The sequence below is a fragment of the Homo sapiens genome, chromosome 15, assembly GCF_000001405.40.
Source record: "Homo sapiens chromosome 15, GRCh38.p14 Primary Assembly".
NCBI classification, from domain to species: Eukaryota; Metazoa; Chordata; class Mammalia; order Primates; family Hominidae; genus Homo; species Homo sapiens.
Window position 1 is genome coordinate 92,099,419 of NC_000015.10, and position 23,296 is coordinate 92,122,714.

The following is a 23,296-nucleotide window of genomic DNA, read 5'->3' on the forward strand; positions in this document are numbered from 1 at the left end:
CATAGGTTAAACAAATGGGTAAATGAACTACAAAAAAAAAAAAGTCCATATGGCACAGGAAAAAGAAGTAAATGTCCCCAACTTGCTTTGATCTCCTCTTCTCACAATCTCAAGTATCCTCATGAGCGTGTGGGTGGGTTGGTTGGTTAGTTTTAAACTGGTTTAACTGTATTTCCAGTGACTTTTCATTTGATCTTGGAAATGGGTGGAAATCTCCATGAGCCTCCTAGTTCAGTTAACCTTTGACAGAGAGAGCAAACAGCTGTCAACAGCTCTCAATTCACCCAACACAAGCAAGAAATAAGAACAACCCAGAAGTCAGATACAAAGAGTGGAAGGGTTAGAAAAATTGATCTTGTAAGGCCAGGCATAGTGGCTCTCACCTGTAATCCCAGCATTTTGGGAGGCCGAGGCAGGTGGATCACCTGAGGTCAGGAGTTTGAGATCAGACCAGCCAATATGGTGAAACCCTGTCTCTACTAAAAATACAAAAAAAAATTAGCCGGGCGTGTTGGTAGGCACCTGTAATCTCAGCTACTTGGGAGGCTGACGCAGGAGAATTGCTTGAACCCAGGAGGTGGAGGTTGCAGTGAGCTGAGATCTCACCACTGCACTACAGCCTGGGCAATAGAGTGAAACTCCATCTCAAAAAAAAAAAACAAAAAACAAAAAAACGGAAAATGGATCTAGAAAAGGAGAAACACCTTCTATGCCTGTTGACACCTATGTCAAGACAAGTCCAAGCTGTGCCTGGCTTCATGACAGATATTTCATGGTACACCCAGTGTATGGCTCTTTGCTCTACTCTGCAACCCTTTTCTCCTGTCCCCTTTACCAGACTTCCCTCCGAATGAAATGGCATCTGTTCTCATCATCTGGAATGACCACGGGGTAGATTAGTGGCTTGATGAGGGAGTTGAGCCTATTTACTTAGAGTCCCCAGAATGTGCCACACCTTGACTCAGCCTGTTCCCTCAGCCTGGGATACTGTCTCTACCTCATTTTATTCAACATCTTTCTTCATCCATGTGTCTAGTTTTGTTGGCAATTGAATGCATCTAAGTAAATGAGACAGATTGGTGCTTTCAGTTTTGTTCTGGGCATCTTACTGAAAGCAGCCCTTGCCAGAAGGCTGAAACTGCAGCCATTTTTTTTAAAGTTAAGACACTAACTAGAACCAAATAGAGAAGTAAAGAGGTTTTCAAGCCTTCCTCCCTACTTTTATCTAAAACAATACTTTTGCTATGCCAAGCCTGCCTGAGACTGCTGTTCTTATAGAACGTGGATTTCTATTTCCTAAACCTTTTGTACTAGTCAGGGTAGGCTAGGTTATGTTGCGGTAACAAACAGCTCCCAACTCTCAGCAGCTTAGAATACTAAAGGGTTCTTTCTTCTTTGTGCTACATCCAGTGTAGGTCAACAGGGACATTTCATTTATTGTAGCCTGTCAGATACCATCTTAGGAGGAAAGAGGGGGTGGAGTCATGTACCAGCTCATACACACTTCCACACAGAAGTGATATATGTCCCCTTGCTCACATTTCACAGGCAGAGCTCTGTGGCTTATAGTTACACCTAACTTCACAGAGTGAGGAGGTGTCATCCTCCTTGTCCTCAGAGGAAGAGGATCCAATGCAGACACTGATAACATCTACCACACCGTCCTCTTCCAGCCACACAGAGAACTCTCCCTCAATATCCCTAGTTCTGAAACAGTGTCTGTAGAGCATTGACGGACAATTACCAACAGGTGGAGGGAGATTTTTCACCAAAACTAGCCAAAATACCTCATAAAAATTATATTTGTTAGCTGGGCACAGTGGTTCACACCTGTAATCTCAGCACTTTGGGAGGCCAACGCGGGTGGATCACCTGAGGTCAGGAGTTCAAGACCAGCCTGGCCAACATGGTGAAACCCCATCTCTACCAAAAGTACAAAAATTAGCCGGGCATGGTGGTGGGCACCTGTAATCTCAGCTACTTGAGAGGCTAAGGCAGGAGAATCGCTTGAACCCAGGAGGTGGAGGTTGCAGTAAGCCAAGATCACACCACTGCACTCCAGCCTGGCCGACAGAGCGAGATCCACCTCAAAAGAAAAAAAAAAATTAGTATTTGTTATAGAGATGGACAGAGGCAAGACATTTCTCAGACGGGTCCAACCAGTAGCCGTCTTCCCCAGATCAAACTCACCAAAGCCTCCCCCGCCCTCAGGGCAGCACACTCCACAGCTGAGCAGTTTCTCTCAGCATGTTATTTCTCTCTGCCACAGTGCTCCGGATAATTGAAATGGAGAAAAAAATCAATACTTCCCAAAATAGTCAGTGATGAGTGTCTTGGATCTACAGAATCCTGCTGTCCACCACCTTCACGCAGGCCCCGTCTCCTGTACTTGCCCGGGTGGCAGGCGGGCTTTGGTTCTGACACAGGTGACGTGCCCTTCCCCATCTTTCAAACTGTGAGCCAGCGTCAGCTTTCCCCAGACATACACATACCTACAGGAAGCAAGTTGACACGTTCACACAAACCACCACCTCCCCCATCGCCATCCCTCTCCCTGGGTTGTTTTCTCACACTTAGAACAACAGAGTCACTAACTTCCTAACTAAAATATGACTTTTCTAATTTTGTTCCCCCAAACAACTGCTAGGATTTCTCTCTCTTTACCCGCTCACATCTGCCAGCTTTTCAATTCCCCCTTTATGGAGCCTGGAGACAATGGAGGGAAATACTTCAGCTCCCTTTTGCTGTCTTTTGTTTTCATTCATTGCTTGGCAGCAGGTGAAGAAACACAGTAAGTGACTAGTGAAAATATTCCTGTTCAGCTACCAGAGGCAATTTCACTTCCTTGTGTCTTCCCTCATTTGCATAAAGATGCTTTCAAGATCACCTTGTGTTTTCCCATGCTGTACCCTTTTTTAAAAAGATCCCTATTTTGAGATTCTCATTTATATACATATATGTACATAAAAGTGAGAATAACAAGATCTCTCTCTATACAAAGAGCCTACTGTGCATCAGGTGATTCTTGCTCATTGCCTGTCATCCTTGCAACCACTCTAGGTTGAAGCTGTCTTTATTTTGCAAATGATGCAGCTAAGACTCAAGGAGGGTAAGTAATCTGCCCAGTGTCACATGCTAGTAAGTGGCAGAGCTGGGATTCGGCCCCCAAGTACTCCAGGCTTACACTGTCCCCTCTCCAGCATGTAGCTATGCAGAAACATCTGGTCCATTGTAGTGCTATTGTTGCGCTGGGTGTATGTCAGCATCTCCAGGACAGTGACTACCAGTGTTCCAAAGGCCACTTGCTACCTACTGGAAGAGCTGGTGGCCTTAGGCTCATGGCACAAAGAGCAGGAATTGATCATTCACCTCGGGCCCTACAGAGAGCCCAAAAACAGACATTGAAGAGGGGCAGTGGAACAGAAAGGTGAGAGCGTGGACCTTGGCATGTGTATACCTGTGTTCCGTTCTTCAGCCCCATGAACCTGGGCAACGAACCTAACCTTTCTAAGCCTCAGTTACTCCATCTATAGAAAACAGATAATAAAAGTCCTGCCTTGTAGAGTTATGGGGAAGGTTGGCTGGAACAGTTAAGAATGTGCTCTGCATAATGCCTGGTGCAGAGGAAGCCCTCAATAAACGATGGCTGGCCTTATCATTAATGCTAGCTGAGGAGTCTTCAGGGAGAACATTTTATGAGTGCTGAAGTGTTCATCTGGTGTGTGCGGTCATTACTCTTCCCAGAGCTGTCCATCCATCTGGTCCAGGCCTGCAGCCCTGTTGGTCTTACCTCATACACCATTGCCCAGATCTCCCCAGTTCTCCTTCCATGTTCCAGGGGCATGGTTTATTATCAAAGAGACATTTCTAAGCAGCTCACCTGGGAGCTGTGCTGTACAAGGCAGGTGTAAAGAGAGAGAAAGAAAAAAACTGTACCAAAGGGTAAGCTGAAGTTTATGTTCTTGTGACTTAGCTGGCACAATAAAAGAAATAGTGGTACAGTGCCACCAAACCATATGCATAGCCCCTTTAAGCACATGAGTTGACTGCAAAGCTTTGTATTAGAGAGCTGGTGCCAAACCACAGGCCACCAACAAAGTTGGCATTAATTAATTAATTAATGCATGGAAACAAAGGCCCCTCACCATAAATAACAGGCTACCATCATCTGGGTGCCCAAGCATGCGCCAGGCACTCTTCTGAGCATTTTATGTCTGGTGTGGTCATTTGATCTTCCCACTAAGTACTGCCATCATCCTAGATGTTATACAGATCAGTAAACTGAGGCATAGAGAGTTCAAACCACTGGCCTAGGGTCACACAGAGACAAAGGGGTAGGACTTCAACCCAGGCAGCCTGGCTTCAGAGGCCCTGCTCTAAAACCCTATTGTGCGCCTCCCCTTATGAGCTGTGAACCTAAATTGAGGCAGTGAGTGGGGCATTGAGTGGGATCTCGTGTGAGCTGCTTTTTGGAAGCCAAGAGTGAATATACCCGGTGAAAATCTACCTCTGAACAATAAACATTTCCTTGTGCTTCTTTCAGTACACCTTAGCAGTGCTGCCAAGCCAGTTTTAGCCTAAATTCAGAGAACGTCTGGCTTCTCACTGTTTTTGTTTAGACCGATATAAACACAGGGTAGACAAGAAAATTAAGGGGGGAATGTGATCAGCCTCCGGCTTTGAGAGAAACAGAACCGCTGGTGTGGAACAATAGGCTTCGTAGCCTGGCAGCCAGTGTTCCCGACCGCAAGTCATTTCTAGAGCCCTTGCCCTCTCTGTTCAGCGGATTCAGATTCTCAGCAAAATCCCCAGTGGTCCAGCCTTCTTTTCTCCACTAAGCTGTGCTCTTTCCATTTACAGGTAACCTGGACATCACTCCGGACGACCCCCGCTGGATCGGAGCCTGGTGGGGTGGCTTTCTGCTCTGCGGTGCCTTACTCTTCTTCTCTTCCCTCTTGATGTTTGGGTTTCCACAGTCCCTGCCCCCGCACTCAGAGCCCGCCATGGAAAGCGAGCAGGCCATGCTCTCCGAAAGAGAATACGAGAGACCCAAGCCCAGCAACGGGGTCCTGAGGCACCCCCTGGAGCCAGACAGCAGTGCCTCCTGTTTCCAGCAGCTGAGAGGTAAAGGTGGCCTCATCTGCCTCTGCTCAGAACAGTAGGGGGATTGGGATGGGGGTGATGAATGAAGGGGTGGCACCCAGGACTGGGGTGCTTGGGGACTTGGTGGAGGCAGAATAATATTGGCTTGCATGGCTGGCCTCTACCAGCCAGGTGCTTAACTTATTCCTGAGAAGTAAATAACCTGACTTGCTTAATAAAAACAAAAATAAAGTAGCTACCATTTGTTAAAGGGACCCAGTGGTTAATATAGGACCTGACATTTAATAAACATAAATGTCTTCAGAAGGAAGCAAAATATTCTGTGGAGCTTTTTTGAATTCTTTCAGGCCACCCATAAGCACCTGGAAGCAATAAAGGAATTTTGAAGTTGGCTTCCTTTGCCTGATATCAGCATTCTTTGAAAAGCCACCTCCAGCCGGGCGCGGTGGCTGTAATCCCAGCCACCGCGCCCGGTGTAATCACATCTGTAATCCCAGCCCTTTGGGAAGCCAAGGCAGGTGGATCACTTGAGGTCAGAAGTTTGAGACCAGCCTGGCCAACGTGGTGAAACCCCATATCTGCTAAAATACAAAAATTAGCCGGGCTTGGTGGCATGTGCCTGTAATCCCAGCTACTCGGGAGGCTGAGGCAGGAGAATCGCTTGATCCTGGGTTCAAGCTCACCAGAGGTTGCAGTGAGCCAAGATTGAGCCACTGCACTCCAGCCTGGGTGACACAGCAAGACTCTCATCTCAAAAGAAAAAAAAGCCACCTTCAAAGTACATTTCTTTACATTCACTTTGTCCTTTCATTGTCTCCACTAAAGATGAGAGATGTTTTCCTGCAGAAAGAAATATTAACCCAGTCTTAATGACACAGTCACACTTTAGGATGCAGCAAAGCTCTTGCTATCATTTTTTAAAGAAAAAAAAGTGCAACTTTTCTGACAAAATGGTGAAGCACAAACAATGATGCAGAGTGAGAACCCCCCTCCACCACCACCGCCCAAGTTGTTTCCATCTTCGGCACAATCCTTTAAAGACGAGGAAAATGACAAGGAGCTGAATGTAGCCTGGCAGTCTCAGAAGCTGCTCGGCGACTATCAGGCGAGGTATGTGTGAGGTTCCTTAATGCACACGACTCCTTGCTCAGCTCCCCTGACGTCCTGCTGGATTTTAGAAATGAGTGGGCTCATGCAGCCAGGAGCAAGGTCAGGCACTACTTCCCAGGGAAGCTGGGATGCAGAAGGGAGATGGTCAGTCCCCTCTGTGCAGGAATGCGGCACTCAGCCGGGCCAGCCTTCCACAGCGGCAGATGCAGTCCTCCTGTGCTTTATTTAGACATTTCCTAGCAGTGAAAGTCTGTTTACTAAACTTCTGTGTAACAATGTGCGCCTTCTATAGAGATGCTAGAGATTTGTGGAGAGAAGCTTGAACTGCTTTGTGCTCAGCCCCCTGTTCTGTTCCTCACCAGCCCTGCGATCATTAACTGCCCCCTGCTTCTTTTCCACGAATGTAAAACTGTAATAACACAGTTCCTCACTGCCAGTGCTGTCTCAAGAATGAAAGCACTGCTGCAGAAGACTGTCTGTTAATCGTACCTGTTAGTCCATGAGAAATCTCAAGAACTTGTGCGATTTCTGAAAAGAGACAAATTTAATATCGTAATGTTATGTCTGGCCCCATGTTCCATGATGGTTTCTACCAATGCTGTAATTTGGAATCATCCATAAAACTTAAGTTCCAGAATGCACCGGTAGATGAGAAGGCCAGCCAATCTGTGTCCTCTAAGGTTGCCTTGGTTGGAATGCCCCCGTCCTCATGCACGTGTGCTTAATAAAATAGGCTCACTTCCAGCAGGCCCCAGGCAAGGAGGGTGCCTGCGACTCCCCTAGTAGCAGGAGAGTGATGCCTGAGACTCCCCTAATAGCCATCCATAGAAAGTGTCCTGGTAACTAGACCCCTAGGAATAAATTGGGCAGGCATGAGAGTGTGGCTTTCAAAGGACATCCTGGCCATGGGCGACTACAGTATTTTCAGGTTGCTCCCCACCTCGGGATGATGACCCTGTTTCCCTAGGGCTCTGATTGTAAAAGCTGCACTAGTAATCACTTGTCTTTCATCTCTGGGAATAAAAAGATTAAAAAGATACAATGGTGCCATCAGAGAACTCACCATCCCACACAGGACCAGGTCTGCAAGTCAGCAAAGGCAGCCCAGTGTTTTGAGAACCGCAATAACAAGCAGCACAGGTGGTTACAGAAATGCAGCAAAGAGGCAGAGAGAAGCCCACCGCTCCTGGGCTGGGAGTCACGGGTGAGGAAAGGGTCAGCGGCAGAGCTGAGCCAAGTCTTGAGCCCTGCTATGGCTTAAGCATTCTTGGGTCATGATTCAGTCGCTCATTAACTCATTTGTTTTATTCCATTGGTAGTTACTGAGACCCTACTCGGTGCTAAGCACAGCCTTGACTAAATTGACTTATATTCTGGAGCTTATGTTCCACTAGGGTGCAATAGGCAAGCTCAGAGCAATGACAAGGTAAGCAAGCACTGGATGAGCTGCCGTTGAGCTGACAAGTACACAGTCAGGTAGACAAGTCTGGGACCCGCGAGGCCATATTGATTACAAATTGTGATCTGTATACGCACAGGCTTCACTTCTGATGGTTAATGATTTTAATTTAGAATTAACAATTCCCAGAGGCAATTGGCCCATAATGGACTAAAAGGATGTCTCAACAGGAAAAGAAGAAAGTGTTTCTGCAAGATTCCTTAAGAGCCAAAATACAGTGAAATGAGCTATTATGCTAATAAACACATTTTACACATGCCAGTGCATGAAGTGGGGCCACAGTCGTTTACATGATTTATTTCTCCATGCGAGACACATGTTTTTGCTATACGAGCTTTTCCACCAAAAGCACCATGCAGTGCACCCTGGCATTCCAAAACCCTTCATCCAGTTTGCATCCTGGAAAACCCACGCTGCAAATGCAGTGCTATATACATGCAGTGTGTTACACATTTGTGGGTTTCAATAAGCTGAACGGCGTTGCATGTATACATAGAACTGACATTGCTCCTAAAACCCCATGTTGCAATTTCTCATCCGTTTTGTCTGAGCTTCCAAATGGGTTTCTTCTTTGGCCATCAATCTGTGCCCCCTGCCATGCTCTGCAGACAGCAAAGGCCCCCTGATAAGAGCTGGCATTATGCCAGGAAGAGCCCTTCCAGCCCCCTCTTCTCTGGAACTTAGAGTCTTCTCCTGCTTCTAGGAGAGAAGGGGGCTGTCTGCTTTGAGGCAGATCCACCTGGGTTAAAATCCAGCTCAGTCGCTTCTTAATCATGCAGCCTTGGCCACATCACTTAACTCCTCTCAGCTTTCACATATGGTGTCTGGTTTAGTCTTTACAAAAGCTGTGTAAGGTCAGTGTCACTGTTTATTCCTGTCTATAGATGAGAAAACCAAGCTGGTGATATGGGGATTTGAGTCTGTGGTTCGATTTTCAGAACATTCCCCTAAAAAAAGCGGGCTGCAGAGGTCTGCTTCCAACAGTCAGCCATCAATTGGGTTTTACAACCCTTATCCAAAGCTGAGAGATGGAAAGCCCGGAGTCTTGCTCCAGGTCAGCCTGGAAGTCCCCATCTTATAGCAACAGCCCCATAACCATCTTACCATGCAGGAAGCAGATGAACAAATGCTTGGGTTTGTTAAACTCCAGTATCTCCCCGATGTGGGGGCTGGCCGAGCCAAGGCACATTTTTACTTCTCAGCTGCGCCACCAAATAACTTTTCCTTTAAGACCTGGCTCTGGCTCTGCTCCTCCCTGATCTTGCATTTTGGACAGCCTGTTTTTTACACACCTCACATTCGTCCTCTTGTGTCCTCTCCTCCCCTTTCCTACATGGTAAGCCGTGTGTGGGCAAGACTGCACCTAGTGTGCTGAATCTAGCAAATGCTCAGAATTTGCAGAATTGCTTTTGAGAGGCTACACCTGGAGGGAAGAAGTTGAGGGACTGTAATAGACATACGTACAGTATCATCATCAGATAGTGTATTAAATATCATCTCCACAGTTTTGTGCTCCATTGTAAGTTGTCTCCGGCATCTCTTGCCCTGAGAGGCCTTGATGGACATGACGAGGGTCTCTTCTGCAGCCGCATGTCCATCTGCCTTCTCCCTCCAGCTCTGTACAGTTCCTGGAATGCATCAGGCAGTCTCTTGTTTGCTGCTATTTCTCCCTGGAATGCCCTTCTTCCTTCAGTTCACTTCTGGGCTGGACTGTTTCTCACCTCCCCAGGAAGCCCCCCAAAGCCCCTCTGTGTACCTGCCCCTGTGTACCCGGTGCTAGGTTAGCTGCATTCCTCTGAGTTCCACAGAATCCCTGCAAAGCACCTGGGAACACATTACCATGGCAGTCTCTTTGCTTGTCTGTATCTGTCCAAAGATTATGCATTTTCCAGGGATGAAGCTGCAGTTCATCTGTTCATTTCCAATGCACAGAACAGTGCATAGCATGTAGGTGATACTGGTTGAATGAAGTAATAAATGAATACTTTCTTGCAAGCCTGCATGTATGTATAGACATGGACGCATGCACAGATAGCAGGTAATGATTGTTTTTTGTGCACTGTCATATTTCATCCCTGTAACCTTAGGAGGCATCGGTACCACTTACCAGTAAGGCAAGTGAGGCTTGTAGATGGAAGGGAAAGGCATTTGAACCCGGGCGAAGGCTCCAGTGTCTGTCTTTTTAACCATGGCATTATGCTGCCACTTCTGACAGTAAACGGACACTCTCTTAAAGAATAAGTGGCGTCAGCAGGTGCTGACTGATTTCTTAGCAGAGTGTACTAGAAGTACGGCTGCTGGCTGCAACAGCACAGGTGTCCCCTAAAAAGATGGGTCTTCCAGACACAGCTGCAGCCTAAAAGGAAGGGGAGAACCAACTCCCTGCAACCATTGGCCTGTCCTGACCCTCTGCCAGGTTTTCTAGCTGGGATGAGTGTAACCGCACCAGAGGTTTAAAATCCAAAGGGAGAGTCCTGCCTTTGATCACTGAAAGAGAGGGCAATCAAAAGCTGAGCACTCTTGTCACTGAGCGCTTCATGCTGACTGCCAAGTGGTCTCTTCCTGTCCCAGAAAAGATAGCAGGTGCCAGCTGAGTGGGCAGGGCTGGGGCCTCAGGCTCAGAGTCTTCAAAGCCACCACCCAAATCTAGGAGATGAGTTATGATTTCCGGAGCTCTGGCGTCGACCTCCCATTTGGCCCCCACAGGTGGCTGATGGGGTGGTTATGTTACTTACCTCTGTCCTGATCAGGGATCAGGACACCAAGGCTGGCAGGCGGTTGGGGAGACAGGGAGAGGTGAGTGATGTTAAACCAGGTACTTAGATTCCCGTGGCTGGGCTGGACCTAGTTCTCCAGATTCCAAATCCCGTGCTCTTTCCCGTTTCCTGTAAGGGTTCACTAAATTGTTCATAAACTGACGAAAGAGGAGAAAGGGAATCAGGCTGGGGCCCGTGTAACAAAGCCCTTCCTGTGTCTGAGAAACGTACACTTCTGCTCAGCCTTTCCCCCCTCCAAAAGAGGCCATGCAGAGCCCAAGCTCTAGAGAAGGTTCACCTTTTGAGGAGCTGAGATCCTCCTGGGTCCTTGTAACCTCCCCTCCCCTCCAGCAATGCAGTCCATCCTGGAGTTCAGCTGATTTTGCCACCCAAGTCTCTCTCCAGCCTGCCCTTGATCTCTGTTGATCTGAGAGTCCTTGTTAACATTAACAAGGTAACACTCCACACTCCAGCATGCCCTGGGCCCTCCAGGCTGTTGTCCATGCTGTGATCTTTTCAGAACACATCTGATCAAGTTACTGCCTCTTGCTTTAAGGTATGGAGACAAAGTCCTTCCATGGTCTCTGAGTCCCTCCAAACCCTTCTCATGCCAGTCATGCCCTGTTCCCTCCACGCCCACCTCACTGGTCTCTTTTCAGTTCTCCCTATACCCCAGGCTCCTTTCCTCCTAGGACTCTGCATTCGTTCCCTCTACTGGAATTCTCATTTCATCTTCAGACATCAGCTCATGTGTCATTTCTTAGGAACATCTTCCTGACCTGGTGGTACCCCTTCCAAGGCACATCATAATTTTCCTTTATATGTGTGAATAATTGTCCTTTATTCACTTACTCTGTACGCTTCATGAAGGCAGGGACTGCAGTTGTTTTTTCTCATGTCCTGGTACACAGCAGGTGCTCAGTGCCTGCTATGTGATAGGGGAGGGAGTAAATGGATTGCCGCTTTCCCTAAAGCTCCCCTGCCCCCTACTTCCCACTCAGGGTTTTGGCCTGTGTTTGACCAATCCATAGACTTGGCAAGAGCTTCAGGTGTCCTGAGTGCCACCACCAGCCCACATGTGACTACCTGTGTTGGAGAGGGTCTGCTTCTGGCACCCTGGCTGCTGAATGGTAGAGGATGTGCCAGCCCTGGTGCCAAAACTGACTTGCCCTGGGGACTCTGGGCTTCATGTTGTCGCTTGTCCATCTTCTGGCAGGTGCTTTACATCTTGGTCAGGGAGCACATTCACCCCCGCCCCACCACTGTGCTTCCCACAGTTCAGCAGGAGCCACAGATTTGCCTGTCCACAGGACCCAGCTCATGCCTCTCCACATGACCCAGCTCATGCCTCTCCATAGCTCAGGCCTGGCCACAGGACCCACTTCATGCTTCTGCATCTCAGCCTCCTCCATCCATTACCATCTAGCAGTCAGTTTCTGCTATGTTTTTCTTAATTAAAATCCTGTGCCTTTCAGCATAATGTTATCATGAGGAGCCTGGTGATCTGAGAGTCCTTGTTCTGCCGGTAACCAGCTGAGCACTTTTTTTTAATCATGCACTCTGTCCTCAGAACCATGTTCTTCCTGTGTGTGGATTTCCTGTTAAAGTTTTTCTTTCCTGATTCCATGGTGAAGGAGACCATATGCCCTCCCAAATGCTTGGAATCCTGTGCCAGGCTGTGATTTACATTCTGCCATGTCACAGGAGTTGTTTTTATAGGTCCCCACGGACCAGACTGGTCACTGGCTTAAGTTCTTATCAATATTGATTGATAGGGGACCTGCTGTGGACAGCACCGGAGGGATAGGTCCATAGATAAGCTACAGCTGCACTTCTCAAGTTATTTCAGCAAAGCTCCTGAGACAAACCATGTGAGGGTGCCTAGCATGATGCCTGGCACTTTGTTGATATTCCTGGAGTGCGTGTTGAATGAAAGAATGAAGGAAATAATTAGAAGGCAGCATTTCCCAATGAGGGTCCCTTGAGATGCTCAGGGAAAAACAAATCAACAGCAGCAATAACAGAAGGATGGGGAAATGGTTACATGGCCAAATAACTTTGGGAACCTGTGTGCTGTTTGATCCTCTCTGAGATTCATACTTCTGAAACATATGTGACTCAGAACTGTTTCAGTCACATTAACTGTAGCTACTTGGCTAATGCTTCCAGAATACAGAGTAGAAAGTGGAAAGGCTCACAGGAGGTTCAAAGGGATGAACTGAGGACCAGAGAGAGGGGACTTGGAGATACTTGATTAAAGATTGTAGCATTTCACCCCAGTCTGGAAGGATGAGCAGGATCCCCGTGGATGGAGAGAGAAGAGCTTTGGGATGGGGGACAGGGATGAGCAGAGACACATGGACAGGAATGCCCAAGACACTGTTGGGAGCTAGACGTCTGGTTTTAGAAAAGGTCATGCTGGAAGGCAGACTAGGGGCTGCTCCCACACCAGCAGTTCCTGGTATCTGAAGCTGCTCGTGGAGGCTTTTGTGAAATTATGAATGAGTTATTGAAAGCCTTAGCATTGCCCTTCTGAAGCATCTGGACTTTATCTGAGGAGCCCTTGTTTCCCAGCCAGGAGTTTGAGTCAGCATCAGCTGTGGAGTTTCTTGAACCACCCTGTGTGTGGGCCACAGCCCAGGAATTCTGATTCTGTGGGTAGAGAAGGGGTCCAAGCATCTGGATGTTTTCGAAGCCCCCTAGATGATTCTGTGTGAACTCCCAATTGCCAATGAATGCCAGAAGCAGTGGGGGGTTCTTTGAGTGGCCTCCTCTGGGGGCCAACAGATCAGAGCTGGTCCTCCTGCATTTGTACAGGCAGGGGACATGTAATGGCAGGGGACTCACTCACCAAATAAGCTTGGGACACCGTAGACACTGTGATCCTTGTGGAGATTCATAAGTGATATCTTAGCGCATGAAGGCTCTGAGAAGGGCTGCTGTAAACTCAACACTTGAGGAAATACCATCAGGAACTCTAGGCTTAAAGATGGGTATTTATGTCCATCGGGTATTTCACCCCCACTGTTTCTTTTATGAATGTCAGTATTTCTCTTTCCAGGCTTTCCAGGGTGAATGCCTCCATTGTTGGAGTTTTCATGAATGCCAAATGCAGTCAGCCTTGCTGCCATGGAGGTGGCCACCACTCTCCCAAAGAAGGTTCTTAGGGGCTGGCCTGGAGTAGTGAAAGCAGTTGTTTGCTTACAAAAGCCTATTCCCTTAGTCTTTTTCTCTCTGCTACCTCTGACCTGGAAAGACACCATGTTGGGTCTGAATAAGACGTTGCTGCCTCCCAGGCTCCTTTCTTCATCTCTGTGATCCCGAGCGGAGCCTGCGTTTTTCTGACTTCACACTCCAGAGGGACGGAAATGACTGGGGCGACACCAATTTGGAGCTGCAGCTTGCAGGAAGCTAACTGCACCTCTGCAGACACTTGCTTCGTGCTTTAAACTGGCTAATGGGCAGCCACATGACTTTTTCTCTTGGGCCTTCTTGGTGGGGTTATGAAGCGTTGGTGACCTTAAAGGAATCAATAGAATTGATGGGGGAGTTATCCCCGCCAGCCCGCACCCAGCTAACATTGGGATTTCATTCTAAATGCTCGTTTCTGGTGCTGATCATTTATTTGTTCACTCAAGCCACAAGGTGCAAAGGAAGCACTACCCTCTGCCTCTTATCTCCAGAGGATGGTCAAAAGGAAACCCAGTAGCTGCTTCTCTCAAACTTGCAAAGAGAAGGTGCTAGGAAGCGCTCCCATGGGCTCCTCAATAGCCCAGGGCAGAGGTTAGGAGGCAAGTTCATCCGCAGCAATGAAACCATGGTGGGTCTGAAGCTGGGGCCGGAGGCTGCCCCATCTGGGGCCAGTGTGTGGCAGGCACTTGCTTTTAGAAGACTCCCAGACACTGCAGGCCTCCTCTCCCACCTGGGCTTTCCTCTACCCCTACGCAAGGGAATGGCTTAGACACCTCCAGAATCGACAGTGTAAATGAAGAAGAGACTGACATTCTGGATTATTGCCCCCATAGGCCAGGAGTTTGAGTCAACATCACCTGTGGAGTTTCTTGAACCGCCCTGTTTGTGGGCCACAGCCCGGGAATTTTGATTCTGTGAGTAGAGAAGGGGTCCAAGCATCTGTAGGTTTTCAAAGCCTCCTAGATGATTCTTTGTGAACTCCCAATTGCACATGAATGCCAGAAGCAATGGGGGCGTTCTTTGATCTCCCCTGGGGGCCAACAGGTCAGAGCTGGTCCTCCTGCATTTGTACAGGCAGGGGGCATGTAATGGCAGGGAACTGACTTAACAAATAAGCTCCCCCTGACTGTATAAGCAAGGGTCTGAATATGTTTCCACCCAGACAGTGAACCTGTGGCATGTCACTGATGGTTGGTTCATAAGTTTTTTTCTGTTGCCTCAGTTAGTGTTTCTTACGAGGCTATAACAGTTACCCTTCAAAGCTTTGCAATTCATTCATTCATTTTAAAATTTATTTATTAGATTCTTTAATACCCCTTGAGTTTGTTAAGTGTCTGCTCTTACGGGGCGTGGTGCTCACATCTAATGACAGAACTGCTCCATCCTTGGTCCCACGTGGCTTCTGGCTTGGGAGATGAGAAGGACTCAGGCAAGGGCATCCAGCCTGCACGGGGCACATTAGCAACCAACTCGGTGGTTGCTAAACCTTGATGCTATTCCGTGACACCGTTTCTCCTAGGGGTCACCCCACCTTGGATTCACACCCATGCTTCCGTCACAGTATTTTTCTACATTTTTATTATTTCTTCCTCTTTCCCTTTTTTTAAGTTATGATTTGAAGACTGTCATTTATCTCATCTAAGACCTCCCTGCTCTCTGTTCTCTTCTGTCTGTGGGTCTCATGTGTTGGGAAGCTCCTCATGGCAACTCAACATTCAGAAAAACAACTTTTATAGATTCAAGTCCCCACAAAATACCTGAATGTTAAGCACGTGGACTTTGGAGCTCAGGCTGACCTTAGTTCAAATCCACCCTCCCTCACCTCCCAGCTCTGCATTCTTGGGCAAGGTGGAATTTATAGCCTCTCAATGAAGCGTTGGTTTTCTCATGTCTGGAATGATAATGTTAAGACGATAACCCAAAAAGCATTGGCTACCATTGTAATTACTGAGCAGTTGCATGCATTAGCTTCATCTCCCCTTCTTGGGAGCCGTGACAGTGGTGTGTTGACAGCAATGTTATCAAAGGAAAAGAAAGTCAAGGCCAACTTCAGTAGAGAAGATTGAAAGCAGAAATACACCGAGAGTCCAGCAGGTACACTGAGCCCCATGATAACCACTGCCTTGGGCAACTTCAATTCCGGGGAACTGGACATGGAAACCAAGGCCATGGACAAGTACATTGCTTCCTGACCTGGCCTGCTGCCTGGCCCTCTGGAGGTAGGAGCTCTTCTTGACCACAGAGATGGCCCAGGAACTCAGCCCAGCCCACTTTCTCCATGGCTATGGCTGCCCCACTTCACCTTCTTTCCCTTCTCTGCTAGCTCACCAAGCAGCGCACACAGATACATCTGCAGCAAGTCGTGTATCCCCATGGCTCTGAGGAACACTACACATGACAAGGAGCCTGAGGGTTTCCTCCATGACTTGACCGTGGATCACTTCTTTTATATTAATTATTATTATTCTTACTGAGCTCACACCTGTGTGCCAGAGACACTGGGCCACATGCTTTACACACTTGGGTCTCATTTCATCTTTATAGCAGTCTGTGGGGTGGAGTTCTGTGCTCCAGTCACTTCCACATCTACTAAAGCCTTGAAGCCAGAATTCAATCCTGATTACCTGACTCCTTAGACCAGGTTCTTAGCCATTATTTTATACAACCTCATTCAGCAAAACCTTTTCTACAGTACAAGCCTCCTCTTTCAGCTCTACAATTCTTTCTTCCTTTTATTAATATTTCTCCCTCCCTCTCTTCCCTAGTTCTCTTCCCTCAAAAAAAAAAAAAAAAAAAAAAATGGACTAAGTCCCAGATCCATGCCAGATCTGGTCATTTTCCCCAACCTAGGCAGAAATTTTTTATTATTATTATTGCTATTACTATCATTATTTCTTAGAATTAAGCTGCACCTTTGACTACCAGGAGTGGCCTGCATGCTTAATCTTCAAACCAAGAGCAGCTCAGAAGCCAGACCAGAGTAGCATACTGGTGACAAGCACATGCCATGGCAGCAGGTACCAGGGTTTCAGTTTCTGCTGTGCTGCTCTAACCATGGGACCTCTCTCTGCCTCAGCTTTTTCATCTGTAAATGGGGGATTTAATAGTCCCAAGATCACAGGTTTGCTGTGAGCATTGTGGGAGCAGATAGGTAAGCATTTAGAACGGCATTTTTGCACAAAGGAAATGCTCTGTCAACGTTAGTTTTCATGACTCCTCCAAAATCTGCCTTTCTCCGTCCTGAAGGACCCATAAGTTTCCAAGAACTCTTAATCCTACAGGAATCTCTTAAAGACTAGCAGTAGAAAACCTGTTTTCCCTAGAGACCGCTCTCCTGCCGCTCTTTCCACCTTTGTGTCATCTTGCTGGTGACAGTACCAAGCTCCTAATGAGAGTTGAAAAGGTTTCTCCAGCTGGTGAGGCTGCATAATTCAAGCCAGCCTACCTCCCACCTCCAGCTCCCAAGTTCTGAGGCTAAATCGGTAGGCGGGGGGTACATGGCTAAGAGAGTCTGCAGGTGTTCAATGGCCTGGTGTGGCCTTGGTTCACCAGTTTCTGTTTGCCTGGGCCGCCCCATTAGCTGCTGCCTCCTTAAAAAGTCAGAATTTTATAGGCTTAACAATCTGTTTGAATGCAAAAGCTTGAAACACAGGGTTGGCCCTAGGAGCAAACTAATTAATAGCCCTTCTCAAACTAGGGTTTTGGAAGGTAGGCTGAACCTTTGAAAAGCAATCATCTTTTGAGGGTGCTGCAAGTCATTGCAATAAAACTGGGGATGGGAGGAAGAACTTGGAAGGAAATAGCGAACCCAAGAGGAAACTGTCATTTCTGGAGGCAAGTTGCCTTGGTAGAGGGAAAAAAAAAGAATGTTCTTCATGCAAATAAGGCCCACTAAGGCTTCCTCAAGTCAAATGATTCAGTCAAATCATTCTCAAACCTAATGATTTTTCACATCTAATTCAAGGAGAAATTAGTTATTAGATATTAAGACAAAAGCAGGCAGACTTCTATCTTGACAAGGAATCCTTCCCGCTGAAGTGGAATTATCTCCAGAATAATTAAATTGCTTGCTGAAGTATAAAAGCATTCCATTAACCGGAGTTGCCTTTGTTGAACAGTGCCTTCCTCATCCCCAAACAAATCATGATGACTCTGAACAAGGACAGGGAGATACCAGGACCTAAATAGATAATGTGATAAAACTGAAATCATCATCAGTGTCATTTCTGAGCCAAAGAGCAAAGTTGCTAATCAGCAAATGCTGGAGGTATCAGCCTCAGCCCGGCAGCAGTTTTACTTGTGACCAAGCGTGGCTGTGATGCTTTATTCTCCAGGAGTCCTAGACTCTGAAGATTCTGCACCCTAATGAAAAAAATGAAGGCTACAGTGAAAGCACGGCAGAGGATCGTTTTCCTGGAATGTCCCCAGCCTGCCTATTTGACATTGGCAATGTTTCCAGAATTTAGATATCTTTATTCCAAAAGAGCACTGTGATTGAGAAATGGCGTTATTACTTGCCAAAACACATAAACCACCGGGACATTCAAATGTATTCATTACAAGGAGGCGCTGTTATAACCCGACGTGATCCATACTGTTCTTACTACATTGTGAAACTTGTTGTTGTGTGGCATGGCCGACAGGTCTCCTGCCACAGGTACACTACACCATCAGAACGTGCCACACAGTATAGCAAATCAGATTTCACTCATTCATAGTGATTTATGAGGATAGACTTGTAACATCCAAGGGGCTTCTGTACATGAAGATAAATGCTTACCTCATTGTCCTCTGTTTATGCCCAATGAATTCATCTGTATTTGTTGAACAATCCACATATTTAAATATTTCACAGTCAGGATTACTCTAAATATTTGTACCATACTTTAAACATAATGTGGATTTAACACAGGAAAATTTCCCAACATTTACATATAGGTGTTATAAAGGTAAACACTTCTAAATATTTATTTGAAATGATATTTCTAAAAATTCAGATGATGGTAAATGCTTTAAACCTTGTAAAAATAGACAAAACACACACATAAAGACCAGTACACTTAAAATCGAGGAGGGTATAAGTGTATTAATACAATGGACTTGAAGTTGTTTTCTTATTATCTTTATTCTTATTCATAGCCTTTTAAAAGTGTTATTTTTATTTGTGCATTTATTTCATCAGAGAGTTGCCTTTCTAATGTTTCAGGAATTTTACAAGGAACCACCACAGAACAGCCAAGGCCACCAGCTCTGGTTATCATCTGGTTATAACACAGGATTCGGTTGCTCAGGCTTTGCCAATTCCAAGCTTTTGGTCATCTGGCTCAGTCCATTTGCATAACTAAGTTCTTTTTGTTATGTCAAAGAACCCTAAGATGCTGATCTTCTGTGTAGATTTTCATTCTTGAAACTTGATACCATTCCTGGAAATGGTAAATTCTAAGTTTTGTATATCTGCCAGTTCTTGACTTATTGAGCTTGTCTGTTAACATTATTAAAAACTTATGCATCCCCTATTATTATTTTATTCTGATGAGTTGGGCCGCTTAGAGGTTTCATCTCCTACGAGATGAGATTGAGCCTGATAATTAGCTCTCTTCTTTAGGACAGCTGGCTAATTCATCACCTTGGAATGCAGTGTGAGACTCCCTGCCCACCTGTTTATTTTGCATGCCACCACGGCACTGATCAGTTTTTCCTAGACGTGGTGTAGTACCTCCTTCCTCTGGGACTCTGTGTTTTATCTGTTCTGTTTGCATAGGTGGAAACAAGTAAACTGCATGTCAGATACTCCACACTTTATGATCGCAGCAGCACAGACTTCCCTAACTTTAGTCTAGTCTCTGGGAAACCACCTCTATAATTTTTGCTTTATTTGCATTCCACCTGAACCATTATGCACTTAAGACTTCTCTTTAAATAACTTTAAATCTACTTACTTTTTGTAGCCTAGCAGTGTCTTAAGCCATAACAGCCATGAAACCACGCATTCGATGTATCAGCTGTATTTCAGCTTTGTTGTAAGGACATATTAAAATCATGGCACAAATATTGAAATGACAGGGTTGTCCTGGTGCCCCAGAGCTCTCTTGTACACTGCCAGGATACGTCATACCATAATTTAGGAGACTTGGCTGAAGACCACATGCCAATGATTCTGATTGCTGGGAATATCCAAATAATGTGCTTGTTTTCAAAGGATTTTTAAAAAATGAATCTCCTATTTTAAAAGCACCAATTTAAGGGAAAGTCTTAGTGGCATATAAAACCACATGCTTTAAGAAAAATAGAGTAAAATAAAGAAAGAATGAAGTACAAGACCTCAACAATTCCTGCTTTCCGGCTCTGTCATTATTTAAAGTGGTGCATGAACCTCAGAGCACTTTTGCCCATCACCAGCTTTCATAGAAGCCCTGAGCACCAGGACTGAGTGGGAGGCTTCTTCTAGGGTAGACTGGGTGATGAGAAGAGACCCGCTAAGGAGAAGGAAACACATTCAGCAAAGATCTACAGGCAGAGCATTCTTGTATAGGGAAGACCCCCAAGGACAAAGACCTGGGTGGGGTGGACCTGGGTGCAGGCGAGAAACAGCCAGAGCCACTGGGGCTGGACTGGAGGGTGGGAAGAGGAGGGGCTAGGGGGTGTGATCAGATCACTGAGGGGCAGACCTCGGGCCATGGCACAGCCTATGGATTTTGACCATTGCAGGGTTTTGAGCAGGAAACTGATTTGAGCTGATCTCGCTGACTGCTACTCAGGGAATTATTATATTGGATCAAGAGTGAAAACCAAGACCCCAGTTGGGTGGCTCTGGTGGTCTCCAAGTGAGAGCTGATGGAAATTTTGCCAGAGAGGTAGCCATGAAGATGGCAAGAAGGGGTTTTATTAGGCATGTACACATTTTGGAGAGCACAAGAATTTCATATCTTTCTTGAAACTGTTAAGTATATTTTCTTACACATATATATATATAGATCCATCAATAGGTATATTGACATATACTTAAATATATTGATATTTATACTTTATTTTATATAAACACACACACACACACACATTTTTTTTTCTTTTGAGAAACAAACCCCAAACCCTCTGTTAGTAGAGGATGAAAATATCTTCTGACATTGCTTTAAAAAAATTTTACTGTGTCTAGTGAACTGTAAGAAAAGTCCTGGTATAGTCTCTCCTGTTTTAGTAGAAGATAGTAATTGGCAACATGTCAGTGTACGCTTTGAAGCCAGAGATTTCACAATCATGGATGACTTATGGGGTGTAGATTTTGGCCTTAGCAACTGGGTACCTCTGGATGCTGTTTGCTGAAATGGACAAGAGCGGGCCAAGAAGGGGCCTTAGGAGCAGGGAGCTATAAGATGGGAGCACAGGGTGTGACCTTGACCCTGACCATCTGCCTTCTGTCTCCCTGCAGTGATCCCGAAGGTCACCAAGCACCTGCTCTCAAACCCTGTGTTCACCTGCATCATCCTGGCCGCCTGCATGGAGATTGCAGTGGTGGCTGGCTTCGCTGCCTTTTTGGGGAAGTACCTGGAGCAGCAGTTTAACCTCACCACCTCTTCTGCCAACCAGCTGCTTGGTGAGTGTGTCCTCAGGCCTCCTGAGAGGGTCGGGGGAGGGTGTCCTGTGTGTAAGGCACTAAAAATTTACTGAGCCCTGCTGAAGAACCCCACTCTGCTCTGGGCCTACAGCAACAAGATATATGTGGCCTCTGTGCACAAGGAATTTAAAGTATATTCTCAGAGTAAGATTTGCCTGCCTGGATCAGTTGCTAAAAGCACATGATAATAAAGAGTGAAAATATAAAATGTACATTTGAGAGGCCAGTAAGTCGATAGATGGGTGTGAAATGGGAAATTTGAGGAAGCTATGATGAAGAAGGATAAATCTTGAAAGGTTAGCAGGTTTTAATCAGCCACATAAAGTTAAGAATATTCTTGGCAGCATGAGACCCATAGTTAACTGCAGAGCTTGGAAGCCATACACTCCCTACTCCTCCCTGTGCCCACAACAGACATAACTAATGGATCATGACACTCCTTCTCCCCAAGGTCAGGCATGGCTTTACAGTTCTTTAAATCATAGACTACAGGTTTCTACTCCCAATTGTTCAGAGTTGACATACTAAAGAAAACCAGTTTGCACTCATGAGAAGCAGTGTTGCTCAGGCAGGGTAAGGAATGTGGTCCTGCAGCATGTCTTAGTTTGCTTTTTGTTTTGTGACAATATATCATCCTTTACTTCAAATGACAGGAAGCTGCATTTGTTGAGTTAATCAGCTGAGATGTTGATAAGTAGTGGACACAACAGCAACAGACATAGCAGTCAAACAAGAGGGAAGAATCAACAATGGCTCTCAGGTTTCTGGCTTGGAGAGCTTGTGGTACCATTTGTAAAGACTGGAAATAACAAAGAAGAATCAGATCCATGCAAAGTTTCTGGATCAGACCTGAAGCTGTTGAGTGTGAGATGCCCATAGCATATCTAAGTGATGTCCAGTATTCAGCCGAGGGGTCAAGAAGGGTCTCTGGGATGATAATCGATATTATATGTAGTAGTGGAGGTTCAGTTGCCTCAGTAAATGGATGGTAGTTGAGGACATCGGAGTGGAATTTACGTAGGAAAAAATGTGTAGAGTTAAAAAAAGATAGGTGAAACCCCAACCTGAAGAAATAGAGGAGTCTGCAGAGAAATTTAAGCAACAGCACCCAAAAGAAATGCAGAGAATGTGGATCATGGAAGTCAAGGGTGAGATGATTCCAAGAAGAAAGCAGCCATCTGCAATGTGAGCAGTCAAGCAAGGTGAGGGCCCAAATGTCTCTGTTGGCTTTAATGATGAGGACAGCTTGCAGCCTGTGTGAGGGCTGTGTCCCTGAAGTGGCAGCGGTGGCACCCGTTCTGTGGTGTGGAGGGAAGCCCACGAGAGGGAAGGAGTAGACAGTGAGCACGGGACTTAGCCAGGGGAGAAAGGAGAGAGGACATGGCCTGTGGCATGTGTTGGAGTCGAGGGAGGGAGTGGTGACTATGTGGTTGCTGGGACAGGAAAGACTTGAGCAGGTTTCTCAGTGGAGGGAAAGGAGCCCACAGCTGGGGATTTGCAGCAGAGAGAGGGAATGTGGTGGACAGCCCTTGACAGAGGAGTTCACCTGTTCTCCTGAAAGAGCAGAGGGAGGGACACGTGATGGAAGCTACTGAGAATGTGGTGATACAGCCAGGCATGGGGGCAGCTACAGCTCCACAGACTTCGTCTTCTCTGTAAAGTAGGAGTCAGATTGTCTGCTGAGAGGAAAGGGAAGGTGATGCTTTCTGATCTTCCCTTTTAAAATCTCCTGTCATGTCACAAGATGGCCAAGAAACAAACACAAAGGTGCTAACCATCATGAGTCATCAGAGAAATGTACATTGGAACCACAATGAGGTGCTGCTAAACATCCACCAGACTGATAGAACCAAGTGTTGGGGAGGATGTGGAGCCACTGGAACTCGCATACTTGGCCAGTGGGAATGCAAATGGGTGCTGCCACTTTGGAAAACTCTTTGGCTGTGCCTATTAAAGCTAACCATATGTCTGTGCTGTGACCTATCAGTTCCATTTCTGGTCATCTGTCCAACAGAAATAAGTGTTTATGTTCACTCATTTACATAGCATACGTAATAATGTCCA

General features: G+C 46.3%; 1 protein-coding gene across 3 annotated transcripts in view, besides 4 other annotated features; it reads left to right on the forward strand.

The window, feature by feature from the left end:
- SLCO3A1 (solute carrier organic anion transporter family member 3A1) overlaps positions 1 to 23,296 on the forward strand; it is a 318,728-nt gene that overhangs the window by 245,711 nt on the left and 49,721 nt on the right. For all 3 annotated transcript variants that reach the window (NR_135775.2, NM_001145044.1, NM_013272.4), the window contains exons 4-5: positions 4,861 to 5,124; positions 21,047 to 21,211. Coding sequence is in view for 2 of the 3 variants with exons in the window: in NM_001145044.1 (NP_001138516.1) it covers positions 4,861 to 5,124; positions 21,047 to 21,211 (429 nt within the window). In the remaining variant the exon portion in view is untranslated. The remainder of the gene's footprint in view (positions 1 to 4,860; positions 5,125 to 21,046; positions 21,212 to 23,296) is intronic.
- Positions 18,049 to 18,640: an enhancer, noted in NCBI's record as "H3K27ac hESC enhancer chr15:92660697-92661288 (GRCh37/hg19 assembly coordinates)". NCBI's record gives its function as "activates a minimal SCP1, AML or CMV promoter by ChIP-STARR-seq in naive H9 embryonic stem cells {active_cell/tissue: H9 hESC(naive)}" and the evidence as "EXISTENCE:reporter gene assay evidence [ECO:0000049][PMID:30033119]".
- Positions 18,821 to 19,520: an enhancer, noted in NCBI's record as "OCT4-NANOG-H3K27ac hESC enhancer chr15:92661469-92662168 (GRCh37/hg19 assembly coordinates)". NCBI's record gives its function as "activates a minimal SCP1, AML or CMV promoter by ChIP-STARR-seq in primed H9 embryonic stem cells {active_cell/tissue: H9 hESC(primed)}" and the evidence as "EXISTENCE:reporter gene assay evidence [ECO:0000049][PMID:30033119]".
- Positions 20,220 to 20,918: an enhancer, noted in NCBI's record as "H3K27ac-H3K4me1 hESC enhancer chr15:92662868-92663566 (GRCh37/hg19 assembly coordinates)". NCBI's record gives its function as "activates a minimal SCP1, AML or CMV promoter by ChIP-STARR-seq in naive H9 embryonic stem cells {active_cell/tissue: H9 hESC(naive)}" and the evidence as "EXISTENCE:reporter gene assay evidence [ECO:0000049][PMID:30033119]".
- Positions 21,021 to 21,315: a silencer, noted in NCBI's record as "tiled region #9655; HepG2 Repressive non-DNase unmatched - State 22:ReprW". NCBI's record gives its function as "represses a minimal TATA promoter and a strong SV40 promoter by Sharpr-MPRA in HepG2 cells {active_cell/tissue: HepG2}" and the evidence as "EXISTENCE:reporter gene assay evidence [ECO:0000049][PMID:27701403]".